Below are 18,280 nucleotides of genomic sequence, written 5' to 3' on the forward strand. Positions count from 1 at the left end.
GTACGTCCCATTGCCTTAATTGGAATATCACCCCTATGATCCCAGGGATCATTTTCAGGGGTCAGGGAGACCCAGAAGAGGTTTTTCATGAGACATGACTATGTAGCTAAGACAGAACCTTCCTCAGTGGCCTGCAGTCCACGTTCTGCATAAAGCCCATCTTCACCTCGATTTATTTTCTCCATCCTAGGAGCATGGATAAGGACATTGCATCCTCGTTTGTGTCTGTGGAAAATTGAATGATCAAACAATGATACTGATTCAAGCCAATATGTATTACGATGCATTATGTGGGGTGTGTGTGTGTGTGTGTGTGTGTGTGTGTGTGTGTCTTTTAGGGTACCTGTGTGTGGCTGTCCCTAAGCCATTACGTGTCTGCTTTCCCATGTATGACTTTGTGTGTGCAGAGCTTTCATTTTTAATCCTTCTTTGCTCCGTCTGTGAATCTCACTACCTGTTGGCTATCTCTCTACCTCTCTTCTCTCCTCTCAACTGCCTCTTTTTACTAGCTATGATATAAAACTGGACGGATCTTTAAAATAACTTTTGCACCCATTTATTTGAGTTCTATGTTCCCCTTACTAATTCAAAAAGAGAGTAGGGCATGTTATACTCCCTCAAAAGAATGATGCTTTATTGATGTGGTCCTCATTGCCCCTCTATTGTTTCAGGAGGTCTCAGGGCAAATAAGTTTCTCCACTCCTGACACCAGAGAAAGCAAAAGGAGAGATAAAAGAGGCCGGATGAGGCTTCATTTATCATGGTGCAGATCCAGTGGGAGCCACTTCCTGTCCTGCCCTTTCTTGAACTCATCCTCCCCCTCCTCTCCTCCTCTCTCTCTATGCTCCCTACCTTCCCCCACCATGAATATTTCATCTGTCCTAGACAGCACTTTTATAGAGGATTAAAATCAGTTTCTAAACTGTTCCCAACATAACCAGCATGTCTGTTCTGATCAACCTCCTCACACACACACACAATCCTTTAAAAAAAAAAAAAATCAGTCATTTTGATGAGTTAAGCATAGCACGGCAAAATACTCTCAAAGTTACTCAGGCATCAGCTCCTCCTCTAGCGGTAGAACCTTTTGCGGGGGTGGGGGGGTGGGGGGAGGCTTTTTCCTACATGGGCTACCCACCAAAACCTAGCCTGACAGCTTACACCTAGGAATCTACATGGCCTGCCTGGGGAGGGGACTGGGCCCTGGAGCCCAGAGCAGACCTTAGAAGAGACTGCCATTGAACACTTGACTAAAACTCACAGTATATGGGATGATAATGTCATGGCTGTCTTCACTGCATTGAGAACTCCAGCCCTCCAGATGGGGTCCTGCAGGCTGATGAGCTCACTGACAGTCCAGGGGATGTGGCATTGCTTGTCTCCTCAACACAAAAAGCGTAACTGCCTCTATCTCTTCTGTCAAAATAATGACCTTCTTCATCTGTTGTGGAACCAAATGCAAGTTGATAATGCCAGATAATGATTCCAAAGCAAGATAATGACTTATTTGAAATGATTTCCTTTGAAATCATCTTGTATTTCCTAGCCTAGTTATAATTTGATTAATTGCTTAATAATTCCATTTAAATGTCTCAATTTCTGCAAACACCAATTCAACATACCTACTTTTTCTGGTTGAAAATGTCTTTGCTTCTCTAAGTATCTTCTGCTCTTTTGCCTGTTTGCACTTTTGCCTGAGCAACATTCTGATGACATAAATAGCATCCCTTCAAAAAGTTGTTGAACAGATCAAGGTGTCTCTCTGTGCTCCAGAGCATGAGCACTATAATCTGTGTCCTTGAAACAGTACCTCTGATTGGAAAGATCTAAGACCATGTCTTTAAAAAGCCAACCTCCCTGCCAGACAAATGAAGCTGCCATTCCTGGCAGCCCTAACCCCTTCCTGCAGCGTGGGGCAAGCTGTACTTGACATAGTGAGAGGCTGCCCAAGAAATTAAAACCCAGGCCCAGACTCTGGGAGCCTGCAGCCCAGCTGGCAGCTACTGAGCTGGGGAAGTCAACTCTGGAGTGCATTTAAATATTTTTTAAATGATCTAGGTTAAAACCCTGCTCAAAGCAGAGGTCTTCTCAGAGCACGTCAGTGTGGGACCACAGATAAACACGCACACTTCCACCTCCGTGGTGGAAGAATGCACCTCGATGGAAGCTGAGCACATTGCTGCCCTCTGTGTTTCAGGGAGCCAAGGCAGCCTGTGACTCACCCTTTCTGGAAAGTTAGGCAAGGCTCCCCAATGGACTTTGATGTGTTCCTCAACATTCTTCCTCTCTGTATTCCATCAGCTAAAAACTTCCAAGGTCGCTTTTCATTTCTCATTTGAAATGGTGTTTCTGACACCCAACTTCATATAATCAATTGAGTCACTTCATCCAAATACTCACATCCTGAAAAGAGCCAACACAGTCTTTCAAGCCTTTGAATAAGTGAGAAGGAGCAGAAAGAAACTTAGAGGAGAGGGCCTGTACCTTCTCTTCTGAAAACTATCTCGGGCCAGTGATGAATACAAGTGACCAAAAGAGAGAAGTAAGAAGAGGGCCAGATGGGAAGCAGGAAATGGGAAGCTATCAGTCAGATAGGAGGTATTGGAGGGGAAGGAATTGGGTGTCCAGAAGGAGAGGACAAGCCATTAATCTGAGTTTCATGGAATGCTACATGTTTTTAAATAAGATCTGTCTCAATAGGCCCATCTACATGAGCAAATGCACCACTGGGAGGTGGAAAGAGTGGGATTCAAATTGAGGAAAAGTGAGGAACTAACTGGGCCCTGGTGCTGACCAACCAGGGACTCAGAGCATGGTCAGCAAAGGCAGACTCAAGCCCAGGTCATCCACAGGGCATTTTGCTTGCAGGTACCTTTTAGACTAAGTGTCCCATCCTTCCCTGTTTGACCACAATATCCTGCCAAGTGAGGGCAAAGCTAATGAAATGGTTCTGGGAAAGAATGGGGGAGAGAAGTTCACCCGCCTGCATGACTTGATCAACCAGTTGGTATTTACACCACCACCCAAATCCCCATCCATGCACTGGCACCTTTCAGCAGTTCTCTGTGAGGCACCAGATGGAGGCAATTGAGAAAATGCAAGACAACAGCATGGCAGGGCAATACCTGAGGATGTGTACATAGCCTTGAAGCGTCCAGCGTGAACCAGGCTTTGGAGTTCTAATTGATCTGTGTGTGTACAATTGATTTTTACTTATCTTTCTTTTAAAGTTACTCTGAATTGCTTTAGGATAATCCAGAATGTGAAATGATGTCCTCAAAGAATTTTAACGACACTTGGAACTATTGCTCTATCCATGTGTTTTTAACTTTTGTCTTTTTCCCTTGATTATTTTTCTTATTGAGCATCTAAAATTCTCTCTAAGTCCTTGACTTTCACTTCTTTTTCCTCTCCTTTGGGTGGTATTGCCTGAGGAAACCAAAGATAAAATAAAAACAACAATGATGTCTAACTCTTAGATAATGCTTGGTATTGACTAGGAATATTCTTTCCTTGTAGAATAATAGAGATATTCTAAGTATTTCTTTTCTTTCTTTTTTGAGACGCAATTTTGCTGTCACCCAGGCTGGAGTGCAGTGGCACAATCTCAGCTCATTGCAACATTTGCCTTCCAGGTTCAAGCAATTCTCCCTGCCTCAGACTCCCATGTAGCAGGGATTACAGGCGCTCACCACTACACCCAGCTAAATTTTGTATTTTTAGTAGAAATGGGGTTTTGCCATGTTGGTCAGGCTAATCTCGAACTCCTGACCTCAAGTGATCCGCCTGCCTTAGCCTCCCAAAGTGTTGGGATTACAGGCGTAAGCCACCGCACCCGGCCTCTAAGTATTTCCCATGTGGTCATTCATTCCATCCGCACCAAAACATGGTGAGGTAAGTGCTACTATTGGCCCGTTTTACGTTAGGAAACCACAGCACGGGAAGGTAAGACACTTGCCCAGGTCCTACAGCCAGCAAGTAGCAGGACTAAAGTATGAACCAGGCAGTCTGGCTCTCAGGACTGTGATTTTCCTCAAGTATGTGCAGAGAATCACCAAGTATGTCTCTGCACACCGTCAATGGAATAGCCAGGAATGACGTTGTCAGTTTTAATCTTTAAAAAATGAAGTGTGAGCTCTTATTTTACCTTTAACCGTTCTGTTTTTTCCTCCCACACTCTCAGATGATGGAAATGCTTAAGGCAAACTAAGGTAGTGTGAGACCACACCATGTAAGTGTGAGCATGGCTTTGTGGGTTCAGCTCTGTTTTGTGCGCTTCTGCCTTCTGTTCCCGCATGTTTTCTCCGCTGTTTTCTGATTCCCGCTTTCAGCGCTTAGCACTTGAGCCGCATGAAACTGCCGCTTTCAAGCCATAAATCTTCTGTCTTTGTTCCTGATTTTATATTTTTACTTCTCTCTCCCACAATCCCTGGCACTTGCAGCTGTCAGCCTGGCACCTCCCTGGGAAGGAGCTGGGGAGTCCTGGGGGATGTGTTTGGTTATTGTTCTCTGACAATGAGCACTTGGATGATCAGCTTTTAGGATTCTAGGCATGTGTCCACACTCTCACTGCAACATACTACTACAGTGTGAACCACGCATGTGGGCATCTCTGTACAAACCTTGTCCTTTGCTATGCAGTGTTCTCTGGGGCCACCACCCTTTGGTGGATTACGGCTGTGGGCGTCTCCATAGAGTGAATGCTAAGTGAAAGCAAACACCATTGTGCCAAGTAACAGGGCTAAAATGAGCCACGGAGAAAAGAGGCCATCTTCTCATGTATTATTTTCCTGTGTACACATATGTATGCGATGGAAACACGTATATATGTGGAACAAAACTGTGACTACGAAGGAAAAAGAATAATGGGTTCCAAGCCAGATATGGACTCTAGTGGCCCTTCATTGTACTGTTCACACATACACACACATGGGCACACACACAATTCCTTCTGGTGTTCCTTGATTTTCCATTACCTATATATCCAAACTGAGTGATTTCAATATGTGATAAACTGGATTTACAGAATAAATTGGGAAGGAGGGATTTGTCCCTAACAGCGTACCTGGAACATTTAAAATATGATCCTGACTGTGATTGCAGGGTTGGAACTGCCTCTTGTTCTCAATTTCACTGAAGTTTCTGTTGTGTGTTGAATGTGAGTTTGCAGGAAACTTCCCAAGTTAGTTGGAAGAGATGACAAGAATGTAAAATTAGAGGGGCTCTCATGAGATATGACTGAGCACTGCCCACACCCCTGCAGTGTTGAGACCCAACCCATCGTTTAGAAACAGAATTCTAGAGCTGATGAGTCCTTAGAGATGATAGAGCCTTGACTCCAGATCCCTTAATTCATAGAAAATGGCCAAGGTTTCAAGAGAGAAAGTAACTTGCCCAAGATGGTGGCAGAGCCTGGATTAAAACTTTATCCTCCTCTTCCCATCAAAGCATCTTTTTGTGTTATGTCCCAGTTCCTTTCTCTCTGGAAGAGAATCTCTTGCACACTACCAGGAGAGCCTTTTAAAAGTGAAGGAGGCTACATCCCGAAAAGGACCCCAGGTCCCTGTCCTGGCTCTGCTATGAAGTATCTGGATGAGCTTGAGAAAGTTGCTCTGCCTCTCTTGGGCTCCTCATCTGTAAAATGAGTTTGAAAGCAGCTGATTTCAAAAGTACATGATGCTAAGTTTGCTGAGTAACCTCAGGCTGTTTTTCATGCAGTTTCCTCTCAGCAATATTCATTTTCCACTGTAGGATTATGAAAAAAGTTATAGTCAGGCTTTGCAAATGGGGACAGCCTCCAGGAGCAAGGGCCTTGTGAATTTCTGTAACTAACTGAAGAAGAACAAGGGCAGGAAGAAGAAAGTGCAGATGAGGAGCACACAGCCTGTGCCCTTTACACAGACCTATCAAACTCAGATAGATGTGGCAAGCTCCGGTTTGGTCATCTCAAATCTGCCAATTTCAGTAGTTTGGGGTTATCCAGCTGGTATGTACTTCTCTTCTTCCTGAGATATCACTGATCAGGGCTCTGGAACTTGAGCAGACCCAACAGGTGAACAAGGTTACATTCTCTCCTTTTCAGTGTATTGCTGACCAAGTTAACAAGGCCAGGGAAGTCTCTGAGGCAGTCAGAGAATAATTCAAAAGCCAATAAGGCAAGAATAGAAACCCACATATGCCAGCTTTCAGCAGAGTTTTGAGATACATCCTTCCTTTACATAAAATTATGGAATTATAGTTATTAACCAAATATGCAATGTCGTTTTTTTAACAGAGCTTTCTCTTTCCATGGTAAGTAAATGGCATTTTTATGGTGAATTTTTTTTCTTGGAGACGGAGTCTTGCTCTGTTGCCCAGACTGGAGTGCAGTGGCACGATCTCAGCTCACTGCAACCTCCGACTCCCAGGTTTGAGCGATTCTCCTGCCTCAGCCTCCTGAGTAACTGGGACTACAGCTACATGCAACCATGCCCAGCTAATGTTTTGTATTTTTAATAGAGACGAGATTTCGCCATGTTGGCCAGCCTGGTATCGAACTCCTGACCTCAAGTGATCCGCCTGCCTTGGCCTCCCAAAGTGCTGGGATTACAGGCGTGAGCCACTGTGACCGGCTATGATGAATCTTTTTTAGAGAGCAAAAAATCATCACTTGATTTAACATTTTGGTCCATTTGGGTTTTCAGATATCAAGTTTAGCCGAATACACAACTTTTTCCAAAATAACACATCTAGTCTGCAGCAGCCTTCCCTGAATCTGACACTGATTCGAAATCTGGTGGGAGGAGCAGGACAGGATATGGTAGAATAGGGAAAATCACAGAAGTGGATCATTTCTTGTGTACTTCTTATGTTCTAATGCGCTGGACAAATAGCACCACAAAGAGCTATGGCCTCAGAAAGTATTACCAGGATAGAATTTCAGCTCCAGAATTTTGGCAGAGAAGGGAATGAGAGGCAGCTCATCTGGCTGGAAGGGTTGTACAAGAGGACTCTTGATGCCGCCTCTGCATGGCACTTCACATGAGATTGAAAGATGACAATCCACCATGTCATTTGAGGGAAGCAGCTGTTGGAGATAATGGAAGGGGACTATAGGCCCTTCTTGGCAACTATCACTGCCCTGGTGTTACCATTCCTTCTCCTGTGACAACGGTAGCACTGTTTGTTTGAAGAGGAAAATGGCATTCTTGGGCAGCCACACAAGACTAGTTGGTCTTCCCGCTGATGATGATGGGCAGGCAGGCAAGAGTCACGAGCTCTTTGCCTTAGTTCTCCCTTTGCTGGAGAGCCCCCAAAAAACAGCCAGCTTGGAGTTGGGGGTGGGTTTCAGGCTTCTTGCAGGTCCTTCTTTGCCCCTTCCTAGGATAATCATTGTCCTGCTGAGCCCTCTAGTGACCAAATTGGAAACTGCAGGTGTCTGAGGAAAGGGAGGGAGGGAGAGGAAGGGAAAAGGAGAAGGGGAAAGGAGGAGGAAAGGAGTCCTATGGGCTGCCCCTGAGCCACAGCAAAGCACCCCACTGTCTGTGCAAGCCTCAGCCTGAAATACTTTCTAAATATTTCAGAAGAAGGGGCACATCTATGGCCTGAGATCCTAAAATATCAGCCTGGAGGCCTGGTGGCATATCAGCATGCGAATATGCCAAGCTGGCTTCCTAGTTAGCCATGGTGATGATGAGAACTCTGCCTTTTTTTGTTTTTTTGGTTTTTTTTTTGTTGTTGTTGTTGTTGTTGTAGACAAAATCTCACTCTGTCACCCGGTTTGTCAGATTGCCAGGCTGGAGTGCAGTGGCGTGATCTCAACTCACTGCAACTTCCACCTCTGGAGTCAAGCAATCCTCCCACCTCAGCCTCCCACCCAAGTAGCTGGGACTACAGGCATGTGCTACCACACCCGGCTAATTTTTGTACTTTTAGTAGAGTTGGGGTTTCACTGTGTTGCCCAGGCTGGTCTTGAACTCCTGGGCTCAAGCCATCCACCCACTTCGGCCTCCGGAAGTTCTGGGATTACAGGTGTGAGCCACTGTGCCCAGCCAACTCTGCCTTCTTTTCTGCTTCTAGTTACTCCAGCTTAGTTCTGAGAACTACTAGAAGCTCTAGATTTGGCCAGGCCTTCATGTCTTGCCATAGAGGAAACCCCAAAACTAACTGAGCTCCCGAGAGTCTGAAGAACCAGCCAACAGAGCCTAGCCATCTGACAGAGACACACATTAATTTGCTCCCTCAGGGCCCTGCACAGACCAGCCTGGCTCCTGGGGGCTGGGTGGCCCTGCACTGTGTGGGGGCCAAGGCCCTTGGCCCACTTAAGGTTCACTGAAAAGTCAGTGACATGCGGCAGATTAATTAATAAGAGAAAAGGCATATAAATTTATTTAACATGTATACCTGGGAGCCTTCAGAATGAAGATCCAAAGATTCAGGAGAAATTGCCCATTTTTATGCAGAGGTTCAACAAAGTAGGGACAGCCATATAGAAATGTGATTGGACAAAAAGGTTAGGATCTACTGCTAATAGACTGAGTGGGGAAACCCAGCAGGGCCTCTCTGTCTAGATTCTTCTTGGCCTCTCTGAGCCAGCATTCCTTCCTTCTGGATGTGGGGCAGGACTCTCCCTGGAATGGGGGCCTTATGGCCCATAGTCAAACAAGGTGGATCAGAAAATTCCTTTATGGCCAGTTTTTATACAGATAGAGCAGAGGGAAAGTTAGAGTAATATATTTAGATGTTATGGCTGGCTTTGGAAAAAAAGGGTTCTGGTTTCTGTGACCAGCCTTGGGGAAGAGGAATTCTATTAGGTTCGTGCAAAAGTAATTGTGGTTTTTTTAGGCCGGGCGCGGTGGCTCACGCCTGTAATCCCAGCAGTTTGGGAGGCCAAGGTGGGCGGATCACTTGAGGTTGGGAGTTCGTGACCAGCCTGACCAACATGGAGAAGCCCCGTCTCTACTAAAAATACAAAATTAGCCAGGCGTGGTGGCACATGCCTGTAATCCCAGCTACTCAGGAGGCTGAGGCAGGAGAATCACTTGAACCTGGGAGGCAGAGGTTGCGGTGAGCCGAGATCACACCATTGCACTCCAGCCTGGGCAACAAGAGTGAAACTCCGTCACAAAAAATAAATAAATAAAAGTAATTGCGGTTTTTGCCGTTATCGTTTCTAAGGCTAGCCTTGGGGGAGAATGGGACTGGGAGACAGGAGAGCAAGAGAAGGTCAGAGAAGATCTTTTGCTTCTGAGCCTGCTTCTGAGGGCTTCATTTTGGGTGTTGTTTTCTGAGCCCCAACAACTGCTTCCCCAGACATCCACCTCCTAGACAGACAGAAAACAAGCCCAGCACCACCACTACCTCCAACACCCTGATGCAGAGGGCTTCCCCAGGACAGGAAGTAGGTTACACCTGACTGACATGAAACTAAATTGTTTTAATTGTTCCAAACTAGTGGTTCTCAAAATGTAGTCTCCAGACCAGCAGCATTGCCCAGAAACTTATTAGAAACGCAAGTTTTCAAACCCCAGACCTGCTAAATCAGAAACTGTGGAGGTGAGCCCCAGGAATCTGTATTCCATAAGCCCTCTGGGTGATTCTGAGATACCCCCCCACCCCCGCCAAGGTTTGAGAGCCACTGCTCCAAACACTGATTCTCAAATGACTATAGATAGAAGAGTAAAACTCTCAGTATTTAAAATGTAGGTTCTGACCCCTCACCCACAGAGATTTAGAAGTTCTGCAGTGGCGTGCATAAATCTGCTTTTTGACCATCATTCCAGGTACTTCTGATGTGGGAGACCCACAGGCCACCACTTTGACAGATTCTGCTCTAGAAGGAATAGCACCACCTTTGCTAGTAATTTTACCTTCTCTTAGAGATAAATATTGTTCTCATGTCTTGCCAGTCATGAAAGAGATCTCAGCAAGTATATCATAGTGTTCCAAGTCTTCAGATGGGATTGTAATGTTTACTTTGACACATTAGTTTTTGCTCCCCTTGTAAGGAACATCTCAGTAGTATCTGCATCATAACTCAAAAAAGAAATATTTCTCTGGAAAGAAATATGAATTAGTGAGAGAAAAGAAAGAACAGGAAGCCTGTGGCTGGGTGTTTTCTGAGCATGGGGATACATCTTGGGAGTCTGAGTCTCTGGGCTGGTTGGCTGGGCTCAACCAAGAAGCCATGAGGTATCTCTAGGCTGTGAGTCCATCAGAGAGCAAGTTGCCCCTTCCTTCTTGGAGAGTTGGAGATTTAGTGATGCTTTCCCAATAGGACTCAAGAGGATAGCTGATTATGAAACTGCTAGGGAAAAAAATGGCTTTCAAAATCTGAGGTTATGAGTATACTTGGCTTATACGGCCAACGCATTGGTCACCCTGGAAAAATTAAGTTCATATTTGTGAAGATTGTTGTGAATATAAAGTCCCAACTCTCCTCAACACAGCTCTGGGCCTACTGGGAGCTCCAGAAGAGATTCTTCTTCTGTATCACTTATCTCCCCTATCTAATCCTTCATGGGGTACTGATTTCTTTGGATGTACCCCAAGAGAACTAAAGATACAGAGTCACATTTTCAAGAATTTGACAAGAGCAAAGTAAGAGACTTGGCGCTGAAGCTCCTTGTCACCCGTGACCTAAGATCCACATTGCCCAGGCACCAGCACTGCAAAGATACCATCTGCTTGGGCCGTAGCTTTCTCAGGCTCAAGCCTCTATTTTCAAACCACGTGGGCAGAGCAGGAGAAAAGCTGGGTCCTTCCATCATTCCTTCCTCCTCCCTTCTGTCTCCTTTCCTTATCCATTTACCCACATTCCTTTTCCCACCTTTTCCATGCTTCTGTTACTTCCACCAACTTTTTTCCCTCTCCCTCTCATTTTTCTTAGGCTGCCCACATCCTGGAAAGCAGATACCCCCCAACCCTCACACACACCCCAAAGAGCTCAAAGAGCCTCACCAGCATTAACTGCTGAAGCCATGTGCATCCTACCAGTCAGGGAATGCCACCTTAATTAACTGTAAGACATAATTAAAAGGCAGATCTCCCCTCTCTCAGACACAGAGAGAGAAGGGAAACAAGAAAGGGCAGAGCAGCAAAGGAAAATCCAAAGAGAAGCCACAAATGATTTGAATTTTAAACTTACTCAGTGTCCAGAAATGTGCAGCCTGCTGCCCCCAGCAGTGGGGATCAGGACACTAGGCAGGAAAGGGAGGTGGAGGAGGAGGGCCATGCTGAAAGTAGGGCAGTAGTAAAGAGAAGAGAAGGCTTTTGTCCAGAGAGCAAAGCCAGTCTTCACAGAGCTGTCCTGGTTGGTTAGGAAGAATCCTGTTTGGGAGTTGGGAATAGGCCAGGCTGGCCATGCTGGCAGGAAGCTCTGACTTTTATCTCACTTACCTGTCCTTTGCTCCTGCCCCCAGGGCCAGCTCCATGTTCTTTGCTCCTACACAAGGGCCACATGACCAGTGCAGTCCCACAGGGACCCAAGCTCACAAGGGCTCCCATGCTTTTGGTTTAAAGCTCTGCAGCCCCAGTCTTGACATTGTTAATAGTCGTATCTTTGAATGTGTGTTTTGTAAGTGAACTCTGATGGGACAGTGAGCTACTGGAGCATGGGGCATGGGGGCATGGAGACTGTTCATGGGGCCAGCTTCCTGCTGCCTCCTCCTCCCTCCACCCTCTTCCCAGTCCCACCCCCACCTTCCGGCAGATGGGTTCTCAGCCCACTCTCTTGAACCCTGAAACCCTGAGCCCTGACCAGCCTGCTTTCCCTGTGCCTGCCCAGTAACCACTGCCACCGTCTGCCCGAGGCAGGAGTTTGGGCACAGAGGGGAGGATCATAGTTGAACGTACCCATCCTGAAGCATCTCGGGGCAGGGCATAGCAGTGTCTGTCCCTGCCCAGGACTGGCAGTGCTGCAGTGTGTCTGGTGGACAGTGGACAGAGTCCAGAGCTCAACGAGGAGCAAGCCTATTGCCCACCTCGATCCAGTTACCTAGTAGAGATGTTAGAATACCCTTGGGGTCATTTGTCTGCCCTGGGTTGGGAATACCACCAGTGAGAAGGGGAGGTTCCTCGAGTCAGGGGACAATGAGTTGGGCCAGCAGCTGGTGGGAGAGAGAATCTAAAAAGCCATCAGTCCTGAGTGACAGGCTGTGAGGATCCTAAGTACCCCCATGCCAGAGGGAGTGCTTTCAGCCAGTTCACTTGAGCCTACTCTGTGCCTGGGGGATCTTTCTCTCCCTCCTTCCAACCTTCTGGAATATGTCTGTTTTTGCCTTTTCTGGCCAGCACACAGCACCTTCCAGGGACAAAAATGCAGACTGCGTGACTTCAGTGATTGTACAGATGAGTTAAATGCTCTGACATTTGCATTTAAACTGGCATTGCATGAAATAAAAATGAATGGTAAATTAGTGCTAATTTGATTTATTTTTATTTACTTAGAATGACATTTAAAAGTATATATTCAAAATCCCACAACAAGATGAGAGGGACCACAGGAAAAAGGGAAAATGTTTGTATTTTAGTACCTTTAATGGCACTTTTTCCTGCTTTTTGAACAATTTTCATTTAACACTGGATCTGCAAATTATGTAGCTGGTCCTATCTGCAGCCTAGTTCCACCTTGACTTGGAGATAATCATCTTTGCCTCTATACAATGTTAGAGGTGAAATTCTAATCCTGTAGGGGGAAAACAGTTCCCAATTTCTGACTGTAGGTAATTTCAATCTGATTATCTGTTTACCCACCAGAGAAAAAAAGGAAGAAACTTAAAAGTAAAAAGCAAAGAGGTGCTTGCATTTAGACAAGCATCACAGGGGAGGAAAAACAATTCTCCTTTTACCCTTTTGAGTTCTTAGCTAGGATGAACCCCTGTAATAAAAGACAGGTTAACAAGATAAAAACAAACAGAAGTTTAAGAACATAACTTCACGTATACATAGGAGATACCCAGAGACATGAGCAAATTTCAAAGAGGTGGCTTTAAGTTCAGGCTTAAATACCATCTTCAGCTGAAACAAAGAAAGGAGGGTATTGCAAGGGCCAGTTAGAGGGAGGTGACCAGGAAAAGCATGGTAAACAAGTGGAAGGTTTGTTATCCATATTTGAGTGCATTCTTCATTGATAAGTCTGACTTAGAGTCATCCTTCTTTACTCAATACAGAAGTTCACCCTCATGAATGGAGATTTCCTTTCTGGATGTGAATTTCCCTTACAAAAGGGAACTCCTACCCTGTCTTCAGAGCTTCTCCTGTGTCTGCAGTTTCTCAAAATAATCAGCTCAAAATTATCCTTATACTGAAGAAATGTATTTCAGGATGGCATACTCTAGCTGGTAACTTCCTATATGCACAGGGCAATATGAGATCTATTCATTAATTATGAGAGACTCTCTTCAACAATGTATCTTCTTATACTCAACACAGATTGTCCATACTTCCAGCATATTACAAATGATTTAGGTCATTTATCACCTTCCGGTCTGAAGTCTAGCACCTCAAATGACAATTAATAAGCTTGTAATTTCTCATAGCTTCAGTATGAAAAAAAGGGAATAAAGCAAAATTAAGAAAATATCACTTCTGTAGCACCATTTGTCTAAGTAAAATGTGCAGGGCTACATTTTAAATGATATTTTTTAAAGAGAGAGTACAGCACCTTGGCCCTTCCTCCCAGGTCAAAAAAAAACTATATATAAAGTGAGGCCTGCAATGGCGTATAATTTCTCATAATTACTCTCCATTGACTATTAACGTATCCACCCAAACACACCTTTCTCTGCACTTTTGTGAACCTCAGTAAGCTCTTTAGTCTGGCGTGGGAAGCTTAATGTATTTCCTGTGAAATTGTACCATTCTCCTTGATCAGCTTATCCCAGGTTTGCAAATTGAAAAAACTTCATTCCTGGCATCAGCAGCCTGTTAAATTGGTTCTCATTAATAATTGAATCTTAAGACCGTTTCAAGACATTTATGAGAACAGATTAGTGAGGAGGGGAGAGCGATACCGTGAGACACCGTGTCATGATGGAACAGACCAATGACCTCACCTGGAGGTTAAGTGTGGAGCCCAGACTGGGGGAGCTTAAATCCTTAGAGAAATCCATTATCAAAATACACAGGACATCACCCCTGCAGACTGATGGGCCTACCTACCATTTATTTTCCAGTGATATACTTTTAATGCTGATCAAGATGCATTCTTTTTGGACTTGGAGTGTGACTGCAAGTCACATTCTTATGTTTCACATTAAGCTCTCTTGGATTTTGAATTATGTATAATGGTGTTGCAGAATATTTCTTCCTTTCATCCAGAGGAGAAAATACAATCCTCCTGAAATGTCAGACTAGAGAAACAGATATGCTCCTAGCTTAACAATCCAAAAGAATACCCTTCTGGATGTTTTTCAGACATATGGATATCCAAATAACTCCAGATTTTTCTTTCTTTTTTTTTTTTTAGTCGGAGCCTCGCTCTGTCACCCAGTCTGGAGTGCAGTGGCACAATCTCAGCTCACTGCAACCTCCACCTCCTGGATTCAAGTGATTCTCTTGCCTCAGCTTCACGAGTAGCTGGGATTACAGGTGCACGCCACCACACCAGTTAAAATAGAGACTGGGTTTTACCTTGTTGCCCAGGCTGGTCTCCAACTCCTGACCTCAAGTGATCTGCCTGCCTTGGCCTGCCAATGTGCTGGGATTACAGGCATGAGCCAAATTAACTCCAGATCTTTATAGCAAATCCTTTAAGCGTGTCCATGCTTGCACAACACCAAAACTTGCCTGGCCCAGAATCTCCCAACCCCATCTATGACTGAAGATAATTTCAGTCCTGTTATTCTTTTACCCATGTGAGAAAAAGAAGGAAAACTAATAGTAAAAGAATAAAGAGATTCCTGCATTTAGATGAGCATCTGTCACATTCTTCAGTAACCCCGGGAGTTTCTCAAAGGAGGCCTGTCAGCTGCCTCAAAGTATAATATCAGAACCATCTGGGGGATTGGTTTAGAATGCCAATGCCTGCACTCTGCCCAGATCTCCTGATTCTGTCCCAGGAAATTTTTTTTTTTTTTTTTTTTTTTTTTTTGAGACAGAGTCTTGCTCTGTCACACAGGCTGGAGAGCAGTGGCGCCATCTTGGCTCACCACAACCTCTGCCTCCGGATTCAAGCAATTCTCCTGCCTCAGCCTCCCGAGTAGCCGGGATTACAGGCACCCGCCACCACACCCAGCTAATTTTTGTATTTTTAGTAGAAACAGCGTTTCACCATGTTGGTCAGGCTGGTCTCAAACTCCTGACCTCGTGATCCACCTGCCTCAGCCTCCCAAAGTGCTGGGATTACAGGCACGAGCCACTGAGCCCGGCCAACTCTAGAATATTTTAGTTAACCAGGAGGCTCTTATGTGGTGCAATTTGAGAACCACCAACCTCTAGACACTTTCACTAATTTCAGTGTATTATTAAATCTAAGGATCCAAAAATTATATTGTACACGTGAGAATCTTTAAATCACTTGCTTAGTAGAATGAAATTGTATGTTTTTTAATTGCCAGAAATTGAAAGCAAATTTCTTTCAACATTCCCCTTTTCAGTAAGCATGTATTGTGACCTGGGTACTGTGTATTATAGTAAGGTGTATTATGACCTGGATACTGTGCTAGGTTCTGTACATTAACTGATCTTCAGAGCTTCTTTATGAGCATTGATACCCTGCATGTTCAGTATACATCAGAAAATCTCAGGCTGCAAGAATAGGATGAAAAGTGAGTATTTGAGAGGCTTAGCAAAAAAGGTAATAATAACAGCTAACAGAATCCCAATTTCCTTGCATTTTTGTGATTGTGCTGTATGCCAGGGTCTTTGCCTATATTATCTCATTTCACCCGCGTGATAACTTATGAAGTAGGTACAGGCAGATTGTTCCCATTTCATAGACGTTCATTGTACACATGAGGACACCATAGCTCAGTGAGCCTATTTGACTAGTAGGCGATGCAGCAAGGACGCACTGCCAGCAATCTGCCTCTGGAACGAAGGCTTTTTATTCACCGCTACCACGGCAGTTTTCCTTTCCATAATAAGGCGGGGCAGGAAATGATGCTACCAAATGCAAATATAATATCACAATGATGCCACCAAATGCAAATATAATATCATACATCCAACTAATTTCTACTCCAATAGTGATTCATTCTATATTATTTTACTCATTCTATATTATGGATTCATGAAGTATACAACATATGCCAGACCTTATACCAGGCTCTGGGGATACAAGATGAATAAATGTGTGCCTCAAGAAGCTCCCAGTTACTGAGATCCAGTTATACAGAAAGTTCAGAATTAGAACTCAGAACCCCCAACTTCCTTGAGGCTATTGGCATGCCTTTCTAAAATGCTCCCAGGAAAATTAATTTCCAACCTTGTTGCATTATTGTGATGTCAGAACAACTCTGCCAATTTGACTGTTCTTACTCAACCAAAACCACTCCTGGGGGCAGTAGATTTGAAACTGAATCCTCTTTGTCGTGAAATCTGGAGAATTGTAATTTTTAACATGTTTTGATGTGTTAATGTTAGTCTTTTTCCTCCTTTCTGGATGATGGTAAAATTTACTGAGCTCCCAAAACTGGCACCCTCGGTGTAATTCCTAATAAATAAAGACTGAAACTATGCACAAGAGCAGCGGGGAGTTTTCTAGCTGAAAATTCCACAGGAAACGGGGCTTGTGGTTTGCAATCATTACTACACAGCAGCTTCTGTGGCAGTTAAAATCAAGTTAAAGTCAAGTAGGTAAATTCTAGCTGTGTCCCAGGTTACTTCCTGCTATGAAGGCTGAATGCAAACCAGAGTATCTCACCATCAATATAAAAACTGTGTACAGAGTTTTCCTCAGCCCATTTAACATTACAGGTGTTTCAGGACTGTTGGAGGATTCCTGGGGCAAAATAAACCTAGGGTCTCAGTTACAAGCTGTGGGAGCCACAGGCTGTGGCTCAGATCTTACTGCAACCTACAACTTGCTGGCCTCCTCACCTTTCAATCTTTGGTGCTCAAGAGCAGACCTACCTTGGGAGATCCCCTCTCGAAGGTAAATAATAGACAGACAGTCCTGCCCTGTCCTGCTCAGACATTGTCATCACCCCAGGTTGCTTTCTCCCACCTTGAAAACTCTCCATCCAGGACCACACCCATACCCTATCTGCCTTCTCCACTTCCATTTCTAGGCAGCTGAGCATAGCTGGAGAAAGACCCCAAACATGGTGATGTATCTACATACATACCTCTAGCCTCTGCTGCCCACTCCCTGCCACTTGGTACCTCTTTCATTTCTTGCAGACCCCTCCCACATCCCTTCCAGAAGTGGCTCCAAACCTCCTCCTCTTTGCCCAAGCCTTCAGCACACCTCCACCCTCACTGAACCCCAACAGCCCCTGCTGGGATAAAACTCATCAATGACAGCTCCAAATTCCTTCTCTCACCTCAAATCTTTTCTTTATTTTCAACCTTTTATATTCTCATCTCTGTATCTGTCATTTTTCTGTCCCAGAGCCTACTATTCCTCCTGAGTTCTTAATCCCCTCCCCTTGGGTCCCTCCAGAGGTTCGAGTCTGTCAATTACTTTTTTTTCTCCACATTGGAGTACTTTCTCCCAAGTTGCATCTTCCCATCATCCTATAAATGTGTTTATCCTATAACAGTGCAGGACCACTACCTGCACATGCCATACCTAGAGCTTTTACTTGTTCTCTCACCTTTTCACTCCTAAAATTTTATTTAAAAAAAAAAAAAATCTGTTGACAGGGCACAGTGGCTCACACCTGTAATCCTAGCACTTTGGGAGGCCAAGGCAGGTGGATCACCTGAGGTCAGGAGTTCGAGACCAGCCTGGCCAACATGGCAAAACCCAGTCTCTACTAAAAAAAAATACAAAAATTAGCCAGGCGTGTTGGCAGGTGCCTGTAATCCCAGCTACTCAGGAGGCTGAGGCAGGAGAATCACTTGAACCCAGGAAGTGGAGGTTGTAGTGAACCAAGATCATACCACTGCACTCCAGCCTGGGCAACAGAGTAAGACACTGTCTCAAAAAAAAAAAAACAAAAAACCAAAATCTGTTATTCACATTTCTATTACCACCCTACCTAGTCACTCTTTTTGAAAAAAATTATTATGAATACTTTCTGCATTCAAAAAAGCATTAAGTAGGCCAGGCATGGTGGCTCATGCCTGTAATCCCAGAACTTTGGGAGGCTGAGGCAGGCGGATCACTTGAGGTCAGGAGTTCAAGACCAGCCTG

General features: G+C 44.6%; 1 protein-coding gene across 2 annotated transcripts in view; it reads left to right on the forward strand.

Moving 5' to 3' along the window:
* LHFPL3 (LHFPL tetraspan subfamily member 3) overlaps positions 1 to 18,280 on the forward strand; it is a 579,959-nt gene that overhangs the window by 512,596 nt on the left and 49,083 nt on the right. The window contains exon 3 of one of the 2 annotated variants that reach the window (NM_001386065.1): positions 4,184 to 4,231. The exons of the other annotated variant lie outside the window; for it this stretch is intronic. Coding sequence (NP_001372994.1) covers positions 4,184 to 4,200 — 17 coding nt within the window. The 3' untranslated portion in view covers positions 4,201 to 4,231. The remainder of the gene's footprint in view (positions 1 to 4,183; positions 4,232 to 18,280) is intronic. 2 annotated transcript variants of the gene reach the window in all.

The sequence above is a fragment of the Homo sapiens genome, chromosome 7 (genome assembly GCF_000001405.40).
Source record: "Homo sapiens chromosome 7, GRCh38.p14 Primary Assembly".
NCBI lineage: Eukaryota > Metazoa > Chordata > Mammalia > Primates > Hominidae > Homo > Homo sapiens.